This window comes from Homo sapiens, chromosome 12 (genome assembly GCF_000001405.40).
Source record: "Homo sapiens chromosome 12, GRCh38.p14 Primary Assembly".
Classification (NCBI taxonomy): Eukaryota; Metazoa; Chordata; class Mammalia; order Primates; family Hominidae; genus Homo; species Homo sapiens.
In genome coordinates this window covers 80,661,969-80,681,348 of record NC_000012.12, presented here as the reverse complement: position 1 = coordinate 80,681,348, position 19,380 = coordinate 80,661,969, and the positions used below count along the sequence as shown (strand labels likewise).

At 33.7% G+C, this 19,380-nt stretch overlaps 1 protein-coding gene and 1 long non-coding RNA gene across 2 annotated transcripts in view, besides 1 other annotated feature; one reads left to right on the top strand and one right to left on the bottom strand.

The window, feature by feature from the left end:
• LOC105369867 (uncharacterized) overlaps positions 1-19,380 on the top strand; it is a 176,665-nt gene that overhangs the window by 25,890 nt on the left and 131,395 nt on the right. The gene's annotated exons all lie outside the window — the stretch shown is intronic.
• Positions 1,076-19,380, bottom strand: part of PTPRQ (protein tyrosine phosphatase receptor type Q) — a 236,039-nt gene continuing 217,734 nt past the window's right edge. The window contains exons 40-45 of the mRNA NM_001145026.2: positions 12,208-12,342; positions 11,885-12,010; positions 10,857-11,005; positions 8,045-8,180; positions 2,624-2,747; positions 1,076-2,363 (exon numbers count right to left, since the gene is read on the bottom strand). Of these exons, the coding sequence (NP_001138498.1) occupies positions 2,326-2,363; positions 2,624-2,747; positions 8,045-8,180; positions 10,857-11,005; positions 11,885-12,010; positions 12,208-12,342 (708 nt within the window). The 3' untranslated portion in view covers positions 1,076-2,325. The remainder of the gene's footprint in view (positions 2,364-2,623; positions 2,748-8,044; positions 8,181-10,856; positions 11,006-11,884; positions 12,011-12,207; positions 12,343-19,380) is intronic.
• Positions 1,685-1,979: a silencer, noted in NCBI's record as "tiled region #15034; HepG2 Repressive non-DNase unmatched - State 24:Quies". NCBI's record gives its function as "represses a minimal TATA promoter and a strong SV40 promoter by Sharpr-MPRA in HepG2 cells {active_cell/tissue: HepG2}" and the evidence as "EXISTENCE:reporter gene assay evidence [ECO:0000049][PMID:27701403]".

Sequence of the window (19,380 nt, the reverse complement as noted above, 5' to 3'; positions counted from 1 at the left end):
GGGTATAAATTGGCCCTTTCACAATATCATTAAAAGAAAATTTAGCTGTCATTAATGTCTGGGTTTCAACTTAATTTTAGTTAGTGTCTTGATATAGCTAGCTATGCATATTTTATAAATGCTCTGTTACAATTTTTTTTATAATGAAGCCAAATCTTTTACAAACATGTTTTAAATAATTTTAGGTAGATCTAAAATTGTTATGATCCTGACTAATGTCTTTTAGAGATTCACACATTATTCAACATATATCCTGAAATTAGGCAGCAATTTTATAACTCAAGTACCTGCTAGAAATGACTCTCAGGACTATTCTCTTTTTACTGAAGCAGAATCTGCGTTTTAAGACAATCACCAGGTACTTTGTATAAACATTAAAGTTTGATAAGCATGGTTCGAAGAGACTTAATATTCAAACTGTGTTTTATGTATACACATATGCATATATACATGGGTCAAACTCTATCTTCTAAACATCTGATTTATACAGATATAACAGAAAGTGGACTGGCCTGTAGATTGAACTATGTTTTAAAATCATTTGATACACTAAAAAGTTACCTCACCAATACTTCCCACCGGTTATGTTATTTGTCTTTAACGAGTACAAAACCCCATACTGGCTTGCCATATATTTTCCATAATTGACATAAAGGAAACTAAAGAACGTATAACCCCAACTTGAATCTTTTAGAGTTCTCATCATTTTTTATTGTTTTCGGTAACTTTCTATAAACTTATTAGCTGGAACAGTAGTGGATTGTATTTATTTGTACTTCCTTGCCATGAAAAAAAAAGGAAGTAAATTTTACACTTTTCTAGAGACTGTGAGACTAAGGTCTTTAATTTCTTGGATAGTATATCCCACATTAAAATTACTTATGGATGTCTTAAGAAATAATTATATCTTAATTATTTATATTATATTACATAAATTATGTCATATTATACTTGTAGGTATATCTTTATTTTATGTATTTTATGTGAGGATTAGTATAATTATTATGTCTTAATAGGAGATACAAAATCAAATTTTTATTTATATAGGAACTTCTGAAATTATGCTGCAAGATAATTCATTAAAATTCAATTTTATTGGCCATAGCATTTCTTATATATATATGTTCCAGCGGAAATAAGCATAAGATATACTTCTTATCATAGAAGAGAATAATTAATACTATTTATTACTCTTAATTGAAATCTATGACAAAATGAGTTCATGTAATTCAAAACTTACCACATTGTCACTATTTAATAAGATGGAGGCTGAAAGATTTTCTATAAAGAAACCTTGAATTTGCTATACATGGTTAATTTCTTTGTTTTCAGTTCCACCAAGTATACTGCTCAAAATCAACCTTGGGAAATGAAATGACGGCCATTTAACATAATCCATTTGGAAGTCTCTGTTGGCACCACAGCAGCACATCATTGGTTTACAAGCTTGAAACACGCACAGTGTTTTTATTACTCTTTTGATACATTTTTGCTGAAGAAACTCTTCAGAATTGTTAATATTAGGTTGACTATATCTAATGGGCAAATACTCTGATACATTTACTATATATTTGAATATACAATACAGGGGGTAAAACTTGTGTTTTAAAGTTTACAAATGTAGGTTTGCTAGAATGGTACTCTGTAATTTCATGTGTGCAATTGCACTTTTAATTTTTCTTTTAAGGTTCTCAAACTGAAGATCACAATGCAAATTAAATAGCCCTAAGTGTCCCTGAAGAGCTACTGTGTGTTGTATAAAGGCCAAGTAATCCCTGCAGTGTCAGGGGGTTACTGTTCAGCTGTTCGGGATCATGAGATGATATCTCAGCACTCATAAAACAGAGGATTCAAAACACAGGGGTGTACATGGAAGTACAGATCATTATGACAGTCCTGGAAATTATCCACAAGAAACATCAATACCCTGTAAGCCAAAACAACACTACTGAATCAACATTTACAACTTTTGCTCAAAATTAAATCCAATACATAGGGAAAATTCACATTGAAACATTAATGCTAATATAATAATAATTTTCTATTTGGCTTATTCCAAAATATGGAGGACTTCAAAAACATATGGGATGTCTTTTCTTAAGCATTTAAAATGCATAATATTTATTCTGTACAAAACAAATAATTATTCTGTATTAGCTATTTTCAAGAACTAGTCTTAAAATGTTCAATCCGTTTGGAAAGGCACAGTGAGAGAAGCATAGATATTTCTTTAAGGTTGCACATTTCAATTCGGAAGAATGAGGGGGTAACTTTGGCCCCTGGGATTTAAAAATCTCTTCCAATTGTATCCTTTGGTCTGAATATTTACATAGTGGTTTCTTCCCATTCAAGCTCAACATCACCTATAACAGAAAGTAACATGTTACAAGAGAGTGTTGAAGTTAACAGTTCAAAATTGAAATGTTTCATGATAAAAATATAATGTAGACAGAAAGGGTATTATTAGCCCAACTTGGATTAGAGAAAAGTTAAAGAAAAAAAACCTGATCTGTGCACTAATCCAGCTTCTTAAACATTTTTAACATATGGTTATTCTGAAATTTATGTTCTTACCGTAGGTGGTAAACTAGTAAGCTGGGCATATACTGTTGTTTCTGTTTACCTTCCATGGCGTCCAAAGAGTCCATCTTCTGAAGTGCTGAATAGTTAACAAAACAGATGGGCTGATTACTTCCCTTATTTGATAAGAGATCCAGAATGCACTGGTGTAAAAAGATATACTGTGCCTAGACACCAAAGACAGAGTGGTTAAACAAATATATTGATGAAGAGTTTCATAAAGGGAGTTATATTGTTAAAGCTAAAAGCAGTACTGAATTCATCAAATAAATAGCTAAGTTACAGACACAGAATTTATCATAGTATAGATATGATTTTCTACCATTTCAAATAGGAGGCTTTCTAAATTCCTGTGGTCTCTTGAAGCTTCAAGTTTTTTTCTAACACTTGTCACTAAACACCAAGTATTAATATATTCTTTCTTGCTGTTATCATAAGAAGTAGAAAATTATATTACATAAATTTGTTTATGAGTTTTTTTCCTGTTAGACCTAATTGGTAAATTCTCTTACAGTTTTCTTGTTAGAATGACTGTTGGAATACAAATGCTAAATTTACTTTTGAAATCTGTGAGTCAGCATATCTATACATCATCAGCGCATTTAAAATATGTTTAACCAATAAATCTGTTAGTCACCTGGATATGTGGCCTGCTTAAGATCAAGTATCTGGTCCTGATTTGTAAATACAAGGCAGTGGGTCATTGAAGTACCCAAACATCCAGGTGCTGGACAAGGACTCCTACCATTGCATCTGAATGTTTGGGCTAAATTCAGTACCATTTGGATCCTTTAAATGTTTTCAATATAATTCAATAACCTACTAGCATCTCTGAGTTTGGACCTTATCAAAAGTAGTTAAAGCTAAAAAAAAAAGTATATTTCAAATCACCCTCATTTGCACATAACAAACATATCTGACTTTAAAGGAATATCATCAAATGTTTAAGACATATATTCAAATTGACAATGATTTAAATAGAACATTCTCAAAAGTGATCAGCCTCAGAGGTTATATTCGTATCTATTGCTACTGTACCTCAAAACCTTTTGGAACTCCTCTATTGAAATTGTCTTCAGAAATTGTTTGTCATTATTAGGAATATCTATTTCTTTGTGGATTACAAAATGTTTCCAAGAACATCTCATTACTGGAACGTCAGTTTTATAAAGGCAGAACTCTGTCATATTCACTGCTATATTCTGATTACCTATAATAGTGCCGGGCACATAGTAGTTGTATAATAAGTGTTTGTTGACTTAGTCTCATTTAATTCTCACAGCTAGTCAACCTTTACCATTTAAGGGCAGATGTAATTTAAAGAAAATTCAAATGTCATTAGGTGTTAAGTTTTGTAAATGAGGTGGATGATCTAGTTTATAGAATTCAATTTTGGTAAGAATTGAAGTGTTGTTATAAAGCAATAAAATTTCTACTGAAATTGCTAGTAAGTTACTTCTCGAGGTAATTCCAAGAGTGTGTTTTCAAACATACATGACACAGTGAATTACATTATTGACAGAAATATGTTGACACAATATAATCTTTTTGGAAATCATTTAAATTTATGAGTTCTAGTATTTAAAAAAATATGTGAAGTCACATTTGATATGTGAAACTTCTGACTGTCCTGATTTCATCTTCTCCACTGGAAAGAATGATAGGTGTAAACTTTGCCAGCAGAGCAGGCTGAACTCTGTGAGACAGTCCTACAGGTTCCAAGGTCCTTCTGCCGTTATGTGTTATTGCCAAGAAAGCAGCATACTGTTGTGAAAAAAGTTTAATTCCAGTTTCTGCCCTAGAGAGCCATATTACCTTAAGAATTAAACTCTTCTGATGCACAATTTCCTCATCTGGGGGTGGGAGTGTGTGTCATAAATCCTGTATTGTAAGATTTAAAGGATTTAACATACATAAAATGCCCGACAAAAAACTGGACATCCAAAATATGTTGACTTTTTTTCTTTTTCTTCCCCTATATGAGTTCACACCAGTAAATTTCCACTTCCTTGAGGCACTAAAAGTATCTTAGGATATTAGCTCACTACAGAGAGTTCTCTCATAAAGGCCTTTCAAATTTCCTGGGGCTACAATGTGTTGTTGTTGGTTTTGTTGTTGTTGTTGTTTGCAACAGAGTCTCGCTCTGTCGCCCAGGTTGGAGTGCAATGGCGCAGTCTTGGCTCACTGCAACCTCTGCCTCCCGGTTTCAAGCGATTCTCCTGTCTCAGCCTCCAGTGTAGCTGGGATTACAGGCACGCGCCACCACGCCTGGCTGATTTTGTATTTTTAGTATAGACGGGGTTTCACCATGTTGGTCAGGCTGGTCTCGAACTCCTGACCCCTGGTGATCCGCCCACCTTGGCCTCCCAAAGTGCTGGGATTACAGGCATAAGCCACCGCACCCAGTGCCCAGTGCATTGTTTTTTGAGTGAAAGAAATCAAAGCTTTCTCCTGGGTAAGGGCTATACACCTCAGTGCCTTTTAGTGGCAGTATATTGCTGAAGTTGCTGCTGTAGTATGTGCTAAGACAGGAATATTCCTCATAGAAACTGCAATCACTCTGGAGTGCAGGAGAAGAAAATAAGAAACTGCTGTTGTGCAAGGCAATGCTGGTTTGTAAGGACTGGAGGCAAGGGGTGGTCATTTTTCTGTCTGTCATCACAGGGAAAAAACAGTAAAGAGCCTAACTTCTGGGAACTAAGATCAAAGAGGGCTTCCGAGTACCTGATTTTCAGCAAGGAGAGAATCAGAAAAATCTCACTGGACATTTACTGCCTGCTGGGCACCATGTTGGTGATTTACAAACTTTCTCTTATTTAATACTGATAACAAGTTTGTGAAAAGTGTAACAGGGCAATTTTACAAAAGAGACATAGCTCAAAGAGGCTAACTAAACAAAGTCACAGAGCCAACAATTAGCAGAGATGTATTCGGAATTTAGTTCTCTGACTTCAAAAACCTTCTTTCTAATCCCTGCCCCACCCCTAAATCCCCATCCCAAGCTGTGACAATTTGCTATGGCTGGTTAAACAGAATAATGTATGAAGTTTATAACATATTTTGACTACTAAATTGGGTAAAATTATTAACAGACATTCTTGAACACACTCTTTACAGAATTTAATTCTACAAAGTTGCAGAGCATGGAAGTTTTTTCAGCTTTTACTGTTTGAAGATTGACTCTAGACTCTAGAAGGAAACCGTCAGTTCCATCCTCTATCCTACCCAAGAGAGCAAACCCTTAATTTCATTGAGAGCACTGATCCCCAGTGTCTATGTGTACACCTAGGGACATGGGAGGAAAATGTTAGCTTTTCATTTATCTTTGTTTTTAACTAAAAATGAGAAGGAAATTGAATTTTAATAATGAGTAATAGTTGGATTGATATTAGAACCTTCATAAGACCCCTTGATAAAGACCAGCTACCTAATTTGTTAGCCAAACTTGGATTAGAGAGAATGCAAAATGTAAAGTTCCACTACAAAATGTAAAGTTCCTGTCTCAAAATGTAATTTTAAGATTTTCAAGACAGTGACAGCAAACATTAAACCAATTTCAGGGCCCTTTTAAGTGTGAGGACCTGTGAAACTACCCATGTTGCCTACCCATGAAGCTGGCCCTGGTCATGTATAATATTCCATTTCTGAATCCTGGGGGAAGGGTGACATTTAACTCATTTGTTAACTCAGTATATGAGGGAATGTATATGCATTATATTACCTAGTTTACCTAACTAATTATCACAGAATTGAAGTAGTTAAGGAAGATTCCTACAAAGAGACTGTGGATTAAAGATAATATTTATCATGCAAGCCCAAATGAATGACAAAAAATTGGCAAGACTAACACATTCATCATACTCCTGGAATACTCTTGTAGCCATACTATGAGGTAAAAATAACAACATGTAATCAGACCTGACAAAAAGCTAGATCAGTTTTTTAAAAAAGCATAAAAATGTAAAATATGTACTTAAAACCACTATCAAAAGAGAAGTATTTTGTCTTAAGTATATATTTTCTTTTTTGAGAATACCTAATAATAAGTAGCCTTAGCAATTAGCAAGGTTTTGAAAATATTCCTTATTCAATATTTATCTCATGCTTTTCAATTTCTTATTTTATTTATGTTTACAATTTACATAACTAAATAATCTACATTTAAAGATAAATATATCTGTATTAGAGTAGAAGCTCAAATATCTTTCCTAAAAGGGACATTTGTCCAAAAAGTTTGGATATCTCTGGTCTGGAACAGCATCTTCCAAGGAGGATTAATGTTCCATGACATGGTATTACAGGTTTGAATCAAAAAGGGTTGAAGAGTTCTCCAGTCATCGAAGTTTAGGAAAAGTTGTCCATAGGGCTCTATCTTTGTAATTGTCAGTGAAATTAACATTAAGATCCTAAAAATTTATGTCTTTAAAAATCAGTTTAATTTCTTTCTCATACTTATTTTAGCAGATAACTCTTTTTCTGAAATGTTTAACTACTTTGATACCACTTCTGTTTTCTAGAATGTAACCTGGAAAATACAGTTACAGCAGGCCTGCGTATTTACTGCAAGAGAATCTCTATTTGTGTAACATACAAATTCCAATCCAAAGCTACAGATAGGAATATTGTGTATATTGTAGTTATACAGACTAGGGCTTGAATTTTGGCTCTGGCACTTATCAGTAATATTATCTTGGAATATCATTTAACTTCTTGGAACATGTGCTTCCCTGTTTGTAAAGCAGAGCCAGTAATATTTATGGTTTTACTGGCCCTGCCTTACAAATAAAGAATTTAATTTAATAAAGATTAAATAAGATAATACATGTGAAGGGTCTAGTATAGCTCCTGGAACCCAGTAGACACTCAGTAGAGGGTTTTAAGCCTCATTACCATAGTACTGTGTGATTTTTTAAAATAAAAATTGTATATATTTTGTAAATATTTTTTGCCTATAAGCCAAAACAACAAACAAAAACCTCACAGTTAATAGTTGATAGCGTGCTACAATAATCATTATTAGTACTGGTATGCAATAGGGATAAATATGGAGAAGTAAAACCCATAGAACTTTATTACAGTCAATATTTTAAACTGTTTTCCCATTTATAACTTTTCAAAAGATAATGATATTCAAAAGATATTGATTTGAGTTCATTTCCAGATATCCCAAAGTTGCTAAACGATAAAGATAAATCAATTTTATGTTACTGCCTACATGCCTATCAGTATAACAAGTTAAGATGAGCCATCAGTAACAATGCTGCAGGGTGACTATGGCATGTGGGCATTAGTTCTCCTATAATCTCTATCAGCTGCCCTCCCGAATCCTCCCCAAAAGGCTTATAATGTAGGAAAAGAAGGTGTCCACAGCTTCAAGCTCATGTCCATCCAGATTGCTGCCACTAAGATCTCCCATGTGGAAATTCTAGAACTTTAGAATGCAGTGCAGGTTTAGAGATCTTACCAGATTCTGCACCATGCACATTCTTTCACTTCTCAGTTCAGCTACTAGTCCATATATATCCACAAAATCATGGTCATTTATATGTTGTGTTAAATGGTCCAGAGCAATAAAAACTCCAGTTCTTCCAACTCCAGCACTACAGGAAGGGTAAATTACATGAAAATTATTCAGCAAAGGGTTGTTCATTTTGATGGGGATAAAGATAATGAGCTATGATAGCAATAAATTCTAATAGTTTCTTCTCTTATTTGGAGGCAGATTTTCTTTGGAGTGTCTTTGGATTTTTTATGGTTACCAAGATTGTGTTTAAACAAGGCAAGATGATTATCATTAATATGCTATCAAATATTTGAGTTTGTCTTTCTTTAATCAGTGGAACTTAACCTCTTATTTCTTAATATTTTAGGGTGTGTTGTTGAAGTATAGAGATTTTTTTAAAATCATTGAAAATTCTTAATACCAGAGACTCTGTATTGACCAAATATTCAGTTACCAGCAGAAATGCTAAATGTTACAAATGTAGAATATTTAGCTTATATAGCATTTTCTTTGTTTCATTTTGAAAAATAGTGTTGCAATTGTCCTTTTCACTTTCTTTCTCTAGAATTTATTTTGCCTCCTATAGATAATAAAATTGAAAAACTATTTTCATTTAAAAAATTACATCAATACTCAAAGACAGGTATATGCTCCATAGAAACTGTTAACTGATAAACCTCACAAGATTGATTCGGAAATTCCTATTGTCAGAAATTCCTATTATCAGAAAGACAAGATTCCTAGGAAATTAAATGGTTAATAGAGGAAGTTAATCGAAAAAAATTTTTGAAAGTTCATCTAGTCTTATAAATATTACTTTGAACCACATGAAACTGCCATTTTTGTAGTTCTGTAGTAAGAAACATTCAAACATTGGCAAGTTCCTATGATTTGACCTAAGAAATTGTGAGCCTATAACATAAAACTGAGTATAGTAACATGTATATATATATACATGCCACACAGCCATTGAATTGTTAAATATATTTTGAGTGTCAAACACTGTTCTGGGCACCTGGATCATAGCAGTGAACAATGCAAAGTCCCTGCACTTACAGAGTTTATAGTCCAGAGGAAAACGACACATAAATAAACAGACCAAGAATGTGCCTGGTAGTAAGAAGTCTCATACTGAAAAAAAGATGAATCAGGTTAAGGAGATAGAGGGTGATAGGGTAGGATAGGGTCAGCAGACAAAATTTCTCTGATAATGTAATATTTGAAAAGAAACTAGCATAAGGTTAGGGAGCACACCATGTGGGTATCTGGGAGAAGATCATGGTAGCCAGAAGAAGCAAAATGAGAACAGACCTGAGGTGGCAGCATTTTTGAATGTTCAAAAATCAGGGGAGACCAGGGAGGTGAGAGTACAGTGAGGAGTGTGGGGTAGTCAGGGATGAAAGTATTTGCTGGTGGGTTAGATGTGGAATGTGAGAGGAAGCAGAATCAAGGATGACTCCAGGGCTTCTGGCTCAAACAGAAAAACTTGCTTTTTACCAAGATAGGAACAACAGAGCAGGGGTGAATTTGGAGATTGAGTCAAATGTTCTGTTTTGTACACATCAAATTTCTAGAACTTTTTAGTCATTCAGTCTGTCAAGTTGAATTGGAAGCTAAATGTAGAAGTCTAAAGTCAAGGTGAGAAGTTGAAGTTGGAGATAAATATTTAGTAGATGGTTTTCAAATGATATTTAAAGATGGTCAATAATATGAACATACTTTCTTCTTATCTCTTATTTAAATCACAAAGGAGGAGACTCTATTCTTTTTGAGGCTAAAAAGGAGAAAGTACTTTTCTTTTAGTGCCCATGGCAGTGTATTTGCATGATACAGAGAAATTGAAGACAGCTACTGTCCATCAAAGGTTTTAATCATCAGTGATGCCAGCATAAAATCAATCATTGACTGTAGAAGCAAATTGTTATACTGTTTTTAGTATATACTATTATATTAAGCTTTATACCTATATGGAGGGATTTAAAATTGAGAAGGTAAAAATGAGGCTTTTACTTTTTGTTCTACATGTTTTATAAATATAAGCATTGTTCATATATTTTATAATGAGCAAGCATTTACGTATTAGTCTTATAATTTTAAAAATCCAGAAATTTATGGAAAATGTATAATCATTTAAATTACATATTGAGTTTTTTAAAATAAAAGTTTAAAAACTGAATGAATTTATCTTTTCTTATGTACAGTATTTAACCACATTAATTATAGTACACTCCTGTTAAAAATATTAAAAGTTATTGTTACTTTAAAAAAATCTTTTTATTGTGGTGAAAGATGAATAACAGAGAATCTACCATTTTGACCATTTTACATGTACAATTCAGTGGCATTAAGTATATTCTCAATGTTGTGCAAATATCAACACAGTATATTTCCAGAACTTTTCATCATCCCAAATAGAAGGTCTGTACCCATTAGATAATAATTTTTCATCTCCCTCCTCACTAATAACCACAACTCTACTTTCTGTTTCTATTTATTTACCTATTCTGAGTATCTCATTTAAGTAGAATTCATACTACATTTTCCTCTAATCTCCAAACTTCAACTGTGAAAAAGACTCGAGTCAAGACTGGTTTAGATCTATCATGTCAGAAAACATAAATCATACCAATGTGTCTAGAAATGCTAAATGTGAAATCTCTGAAGACGGCAAGCTGGAAGAAATTTACATGAACATTTTATAAAAAATAACCAATGGAATTTTAATAATAAAAAGACCAATGGGTTCAAAGGCCATTTCTGATCACTTTCTCACCTGCAGTGAACAATCATAGGTGTGGTGTCATGTGCCCTGCTTGCTCGAACCAACTTCACAAAGTGAATTAGAGGGGCGCTGTTCTCAGGAACCCCATGCTCTGGCCAGGCAGTAAAGTTACACTGTCGAACAGTCATGCAATCCCCATGCTAGACAAAGGGACGGATTAATGAATGACAAAATTATTTAAGTTCCACAATGAAGGTTGAAGGCAATAGTCCCAGTTTTTGAAGGTGATCTTTTAAAAATGACTATTTACCAAACCAAATAAAATGTTTTCATTATTTCCTATAAGAGAGATTTTTATTGTTACAATAAAGAGAATTGCCTTTCAATATGAATGAAAACATAAGAAAGCTTGGAAATAAATGTTAATATAGGACATTAATATTCAAATATAGTATGCCATTTTGTAGCACTCAGAATAATAGGTATTGAAACACTTTTGACCCAAAACTTAAATGAACACATTCACAAATTATTCCATACACAGGTATTGAGCATCTGTTATGTGAAAAGTATAAAGATCCTTATATCATCTTCTGTGTGTATAGGCATTTATATAAACTGAGATCCCATAAAGTGATCCCATAAAGATCTCATAAAGTGAGATCCCATACTACCTTTTCTATCTGGCTGCAGATTAAATAGAAAATCAAATTATTAGGATTCAGGAGATGAGTGACTTGGGAAATTGCTGTCTCAAGTCAGATATTACAGTTTCTTCATTAGATAAAATAAAGCTAGTGATCTCATCATTTTCTCTCCTTTTTCTGCTCTTGTCAACCTAAGAATGTGATGCTAATTGGTTAATACAGACTTTAACTAGAGTGATCTGGAACAAATACAGTGACATTGATACTAAAGTTGGATATCGATTCAAAATTCTGTTCAGAAGACAATACAAAAGCATTGTTGAATATACAGGTATCCTTGAAAGGGATAGTTCTAGAAATTAATTTTATTTTAGACATTTAGATCAATCATATTTTATATCATGTTCTCTCGTCCCCCCCTTTTTTTTTTACCCTTTCAATTTTCAGATCCCTGATAGTCCAATCTATTTGAACATCCTCCATTAGCTTTGTAATCACTATATCTCCAAAGACAGTAACTGGCTTGTTGTCCTCTGGCCAATACTGATGGCATCTGATCTGCATTCAGAGAAAATCATCAGTCATAAGCGTCATTGTTATATTGATATATATGTATACCACAGTTATTACGACTAAGTTAAAATTACTTTATAGATGTCCAGGTTATTGATGACTCACAGTATTAGATGAAATATTCACACATATGTTAACACAATCGTAAAACAACATTTGTAAAACATTTTCAAATAACTTACCCGTCCTTTTTCAAAACACTGTGTTAGCATTACTAATGTTTTTGCTCTGGTTTCCCACACCATTCTCCAAAAATCTCCAACTGTTCCTGGTAGTGGACCTTGAGTAGCAATAAATTCATTTGGACATAAATAACCCTAGAAGGATATAATTACAAACACTGCATCACTGTGTTCACAGATACAGTGTTTTAGTTTTCGATCAATGCATGAAACATATGCTGGTTGTAAAATTACCTAATATTTTAGAATACCGTAAATACTAGATAATCTTAAATACTCAAAATTTCCAACGTCTAAATTTATCCTCACAATCTGATATACTACACAACAAATGGTTCTCAAAATTTATGTCTAACTTTTGAATAAAACATTAAGGACTACATAATAATATTTACAATAATAACAGAACTTAATAAAGGTCTTAAGTCTGAGTCTTTGTAGCAGTTTGCTAAGCATCTTATATTCAATATTCTTATAAAATCATTGTGAATTAGTACTAATATTATGCTCATTTTATAGATGAAGATATTGAAGCTTAGAAAGGTGAAGTAACTTGCCAAGATCTCAAAATTGGTAAGGCAGGTTGAGCCCAGAACCAGCTCTCTAAACCCACTCCATGATGTTTCTGCCATGTATTTATTGGTTGTGCAGATATATGTACACTCTTCCTCTAAGAAATTACTTATCTACTTAAACTGTGGCATTAGTCATTAGTCTAGTGGCATTTACTGTCTGGAGTTCTGACCCAAGAAAAACATGGTAATATGAAGTTTCATTTTGCTAATACAGTAAACTCATAGGACATGAGATCTGTCTTAAATCTATTATGACATCCTTGTGTATATTTATCAAATTTCTCTGAAATTTGGTCTATTTACCTGGAACATAAAAGCATGACACTTGAGTTTATATAATTGTGAACAGTATCTGTGGATTTCTTTTAAAGAAAGGTAATGTATAAGTTAAAAAGTAGTAATGGAATGACATCTATTTCAAACAGGAAGATGCTTTAAGGAATATGGAATAAAAGGTAACATTTACTTTTTTACATTGAAATTGTCTCAGTAGTCAGAGAATAGTAATATACAAAAAATAACATATATTTAAATTTTCCAGGGACTCTAAAATGTAATCCAGCAAGTTTATTTTACTTTAAGGAACAATGAGGAGGCACTTTAGGTGATTTTCCCAAATTACAGTGCAAGCCAGGAACATTTGCTTGTAGAAAATCTTGATTCTCTTAAATACACAGTATACTGCAGCTTTTCTGTCTTTCCAGTCTCAACCGAAAGACCTAAATATGTAGTTAAAGTGTGAGGGATCTTTTCTTATTAAAAATAATATATGTTAATGTAGAATATTTTGAAAATTTAGAAAAATACATAATAGAAAGTAGAATTCACCTGTAATCCCACTATCCAGAGTGAAGGACCATTAACATTTTGGTTGATTTCTTTACAGATTTTTTAAATATGCACATTCTCCACTGAATCAATATTTGTGAGTGACTATTACATTCCAGGCACTATTTTAGGAGCTGGGGGTTCATCACTGACCAAAGACACTGAAATTCCTACCCTCGTTTATTTTATCATTAGGAGAAATAGACATTGTCTATTAATGTATATTATGTATGCAAATTACATAGAATTTATAAAAGTGATAAGGGCTATGAGAGAAAGTTTTCAGAAAATAGGCTTTTCAGAAAATAGGCTGTTCAGAAATAGGTTATTCAGAAAAAATAAATACTTCATGAGAATATGCGGTATTTATTTTTCTGTTCCTGGCTTATTTCACTTATCATAGTGTTCTCCAGCCCATCTCCAAACTTCACATATCACTGGTGATAATGTGAAGACAGTTTTGAAGAAGGAAAGAAGTGAGGCCTGCAGGATTCGGGGGAAAAGAATTGTGGGTAGAAGGAAAATCAAGTCCAACGACCTTAAAGGAGAAGGGTGTCAGGAATGTTCTAGGAACAGCAGGTGCCTGGAGTAGAGTAAATGAGGGGGAAGAGTAACAGATAATGGCTAGAAAAAGCAGGGAGTATAAGTGGTGCTTTAGGTCCTAAAAAGTAATTATAAGACTTTGCTTTTTACTCTGAATGACACAGAAAGTCACTGAAAGGTTTCAAACATAGTGTGTGGTTTAACAGTTTCACGTGGGCTTCCATAGACCAACCTATGGGAGTTTAAAAGGTGAAAGGAGGGAGAATAGTTAGAGGGTTATTGTAACAATTCAGCCAAGAAATATTGGTGGCATGGGTGATATCAATGGAGATGGTGAGAAGTGATCAGATATGGATACATTTTGAAGGCAAAACCAACTGAATTTGCTAATAGATTTGATATGAGGTATGAGAGAAACAGAGAAATCAATAACGACTCCAAAGGAAGATGGGGAAGACTCCAGATGAGCAGTTTTTAATAATCTTTTCTTATTATTTTGACACATAATAATTGCACATTTTTATGGAATACAGTGTGAAAATTTTCATACATGTATGCAATGTGTAATACTCAAGTCAGGGTAATGAGCACATCCATCTCCTTAAACATTTATAATTTCTTTATGTTGGGAACATCAAATTCTGCTCTTCTAGCTATTTGAAAATATACAATAAATTGTGGTTTGTTATAGTCACACTACAGAGCTATAGACACCAGTATTTATTTCTCCTATCTAGCTGTAATTTTGCATTCGTTAACCAATCTCTTACTCTCACCTCTTCCCCTTCCCAGCTTTTAACCACTATTCTACTCTCTACTTTCACGAGATCAACTTTTTCAGCCTCTGCATAAGTGAGAACATGTGGTATTTATTTTTCTGTTCCTGGATTATTTCAATTATCATAATGTTCTCCAAGCTCATCCATATTGCCACAAATGACAGGACTTTATTCTTTTACATGGCTAAATAGTATTCCATTGCGTATATACAGCATATTTTCTTTATTCATTCATCTGTTGATGAATACTTAGGCTGATTCTTTATCTCATCTATTGTGAATAGTGCTGCAGCACTTACTGCGTAAGCATAGATATGCCTTTGACATACTGATTTTCTTCCCTTTGGATATATACCCAGTAGTGGTATTGCTGGGTCATAATGATGGTTGTATTTTAGTTTTCTGAGGAAAACTAAATAGTGTATAATAGTGTATAATAATTCCACTTTCTCTGCATTCTTGCTGGCATTTGTTATTTTTTTGTCTTTTTGATAATAACCATTCTAAATGGGGAGAGATGGTGTTTCATTGTGGTTTTGATTTGTATTTCCTTGATGATTAGTGATGTTGAGCAATCTTTCATATGCCTGTTGGCCATTTGTATGTCTTCTTTTGAGAGATGTTCATTCAGCTCATTTGCCCATTTTTAAATTGGATTTTTTTTCTGCTATTGAGTTGAGTTCCTGGTATATTTTGGATATTAATCCCTTGTTGGATGAATAGTTTGCAAATATTTTCTCCCATTTTGCAGATTGTCTATTCATTCTGTTGATTGTTTCCTTTGTGTGCATATGATTTTTACTTTGATATAATCCCATTTGTATATTTTTGCTTTTACTGCCTGTGTTTTTGAGGTTTTAGTATGAACAGATTTGCAGGGAAAATAAAAAACTCACATTGGACATATTATGTTTGAAATCACTATTAGATATTCAGGTAGGAATGCCACGAAGGCAATTAGATATATGACTTTAGAATTCAGTAAGAAGTCCAAACTAGAGACATAAATTTGAAAGTAATCAGCTCATATCTCTTACTTAAAGTCATGAAAATTGGATGACATCACTGCGATGGTCAATATTGAGTGTCATCTTGATTGGATTGAAGAACACAAAGTATTGTTTCTGGGTGTGTCTGTGAGGGTATTGCCAAAGGAGATTAACATTTGAGTCAGTGGACTGGGAAATGCTGGATGCTTCCTGCCCTAGAACATCGGACTCCACGTACTTCAGCTTTTGGACTCTGGGACTTGCACCAGTAATTTGCCATGGCCCTTTGGTCATAGACTGAAGGCTGCACTATCAGCTTCCCTACTTTTGAGATTTTGGGACTTAGACTGGCTTCCTTGCTCCTCAGCTTGCAGATGGCCTATTTTGGGGCTTCACCTTGTGATTGTGTGAGTCAACACTCCTTAATAAACGCCCCTTCATATATACATCTATCCTGTTAGTTCTGTCCCTCTAGAGAACCCTGACTCTTACAATCACCAAGAAAAAGAGTTTAGAAAGAGATAGTAAATTCAAGTACTGAGCTCTAAATTATTTTGTTTGCAGGTCTGGAAGATGAGATAGAACCTATGAGACTAAGATGAAAGAGTCAGAGCTGCTGAAAAGTCAAATAAATTGGAGACTGAGACTTAAGGCTAATTTTCTGAGTAGTTAATTGATGACCTTGAAAATAGCTGATTCAGTGTTGTGCTTGCTTAGTATCCAAGTCTTATTTGAGGGTGCTGAAGAAATAAGAGAAGGGAATTGAAGATAGTAAGTGTTGACAATTCTTCAAGGGGCTATAATGTAAATAAAAAGAACAATAAAGAAGTAGAGAGAAACCTATAATATCAAGATATTTTTATGATGTAAGAAATTACAATAGATTTGTTTAGCTGCTAAAAGAGAAAAAATGATGATGCAGAAGGGAGAATTCCTCAACCCATGTTCTTGAGAGGCAAAGGGAGAGGTCATGTAGTGTCCAAGTGAGAGGGTTGGCTGTTATCAGGGACTAGGACAGTTCATATGCAGCCACAGGAGAAAGACTGAGTATATGGACACAGATGCAGACAAGTAGGGGACCTTGTGAATGTTCTCTTTTAATTGCTTTTGTTTTATCAGTGAAATATAAACAAGGCTATCAGATGTAGGTGAAAATGAGGAATATAGTGTTAGAGGCCAGAGAAGAAAGAAGAAGGAGAAAGAATCTCCTAGAAGAAAGGGAGATTGAATAGATTAGGAGGCTGTGTTTTTGAGGTTAGTGGCCATGAGTTTAAAGTGAGATATTTTGGCGTGATCATGAATTTTTCTCCAATACACTTCTAGTAACACAGAGAAGAATCCATGGAGGGTTTTATTTAGCAAAGTTTGGGGATTTATCAAAAGGTCGAGACTATAAGAGATAAATTTGAGAGTTGAGGATATATACAATAGAGGAAAGGAAACAAATAGGCATGCAGTTCAAGCTGAGCAAGAGAAAAAATGAAGTCTTGATTGGGTTAGGAGAAATGGAAAATTCGATAGAATCAAAGAGCTGTAGGGCAGAGCAGGGTTGAAGAATTATCAGAGTCCAGTGATCTGGAAAGAAGGATTTGGACAGATAGTGAGACATCTGCAATCAAGATTATGGAGAGGCTACAATTCTTGGTGGTGAAAAGGTCTAGGTTGTGAACATGGCAGAAAGTGATGAGGTCATGTGGAAGGCAAGTCACTGCAAGAGAAGAGGTCCAGAAAGTGATGAGCAGGGCTATGGGTCAATATTTTATATGAATTTTGACATCATCAATAATTATGACAGAAGAGTGATGAGAGAGAAGCAGTGATCCCGGAGTGAAATCTTTAAGAAACAAGAGAAAGTGACTTAGGGGATGGTAATTAACTTCCAAAAAGAGCAATGGTGTGTCCTATGCTTGATAGCATGAATTCAAGCTGGCAATTTTAGGGCAGAGGGATAGAGAATGATGTGGAGGTGGCACTGAGGATTGAGGCAACTTGACCCTTCTCTATGCTGAGTACGTACGGGAGGGTATGCAGACCCACTGGTGAGCAAGGCCAGAAAGCCAGTACCTGTAAGGGAGGAGTAGGTTCCACACAGAGTAATATAGACAATATATCACATATTGTATACTAAATATTATACTGTATATTTTATATACATACACATATATAAATAATTGGGATTATTCCTATACAATCTTGTTACAACTTATTTACAAAACTAACATTATATGATCTCAGTTTTCCAGGATTTGAAATATTATTTTATATTTCTTTTTAATACATATATCTATGTATTATCTGTTATTTAAATATATCTTTATATGGTCACATTTCCCCCCTTGATTCTCATGTAAAGAAGCTAAGACACATTTAAGTTTTCTTCCTGTAATGGCTAATTTATTTCAGAAAATGGTAAAGCACCAGGTAAAATGTTTGCCCAAAGGTGTTTTGGAGATATTTCCATTGTATCTTATGAAAATGAAGAAAGTATGTCAATTCTGTTTGCTATTTCTGCTTCTACCTTTGAATATGTGTGTGCAAACTTTTGAGTTTTTCTGAGAGGAAACTTCTTGCCTGGACTTTTGCCCTTTAATTGGAATATAGAGTTTACTGGTTTTTAAAGCTCTGTGATACATGGAACAAAGTGTAAGTTTCATTCCACAGGTCAACTTTCATTATGACCTTTACCCATGGATGCCACTTTTCATTGCAGTCCTTAAATTAGCTCAGAGATTTTCCTCTGGATTATCAGCCAGGAAAATGTAGAATCTACTACCATGAAACATCAACAGCAATAAAAATAACATGTATTTATTAAATGCTTCCAATGTGTAATTCAGTGAATAATTGAAATATGATTTAGCAGCAATGAATAAAGTAGGGTTGATTATTATTCCTACTTTATCAGTGTAGAAACTTCACTCAGAAAGTTTCAGGTCATACAGCTACAAAAATGCAGAGAAGGAATTTGAACTCAGGTCCATTTGAACTCTGAAGCATATGTATTTACCCATCTAAATATAATCCTCCTTTTTATGAACTCAATTATTAAATGCCTACTACATCTCAGGTATTGTGGAACTACATGCTAAAAAAGTAATTTAAATATTGCTTCCAAATCAATATTTTTATGCTTTATTCTAATCTCATACAGCAGTTATTCAGTTATATCCAGTGAATTTGTATATGCAGATACAATTAGTTTTAGAATAGCATATGAGATGGAGAAGGTCAGACCAATCCTTCTTTTCATCCTTTGAGATTTAACTATTGTGAATGTTGAATGGTGCAAACCTAATTATCTGCATACTTTCTCAATAATTCTAGCATTAAGTTTAGTGAAGATAAGGTATTTCATTAAATTTGTATAGAAGAAGGCAGTAAGTTTGAATAATGAAAACAATGTATAGGCCTAGAGACTAGAACACTGGTTTTGACTTTAGTCCTTTCTAATAGTGTACC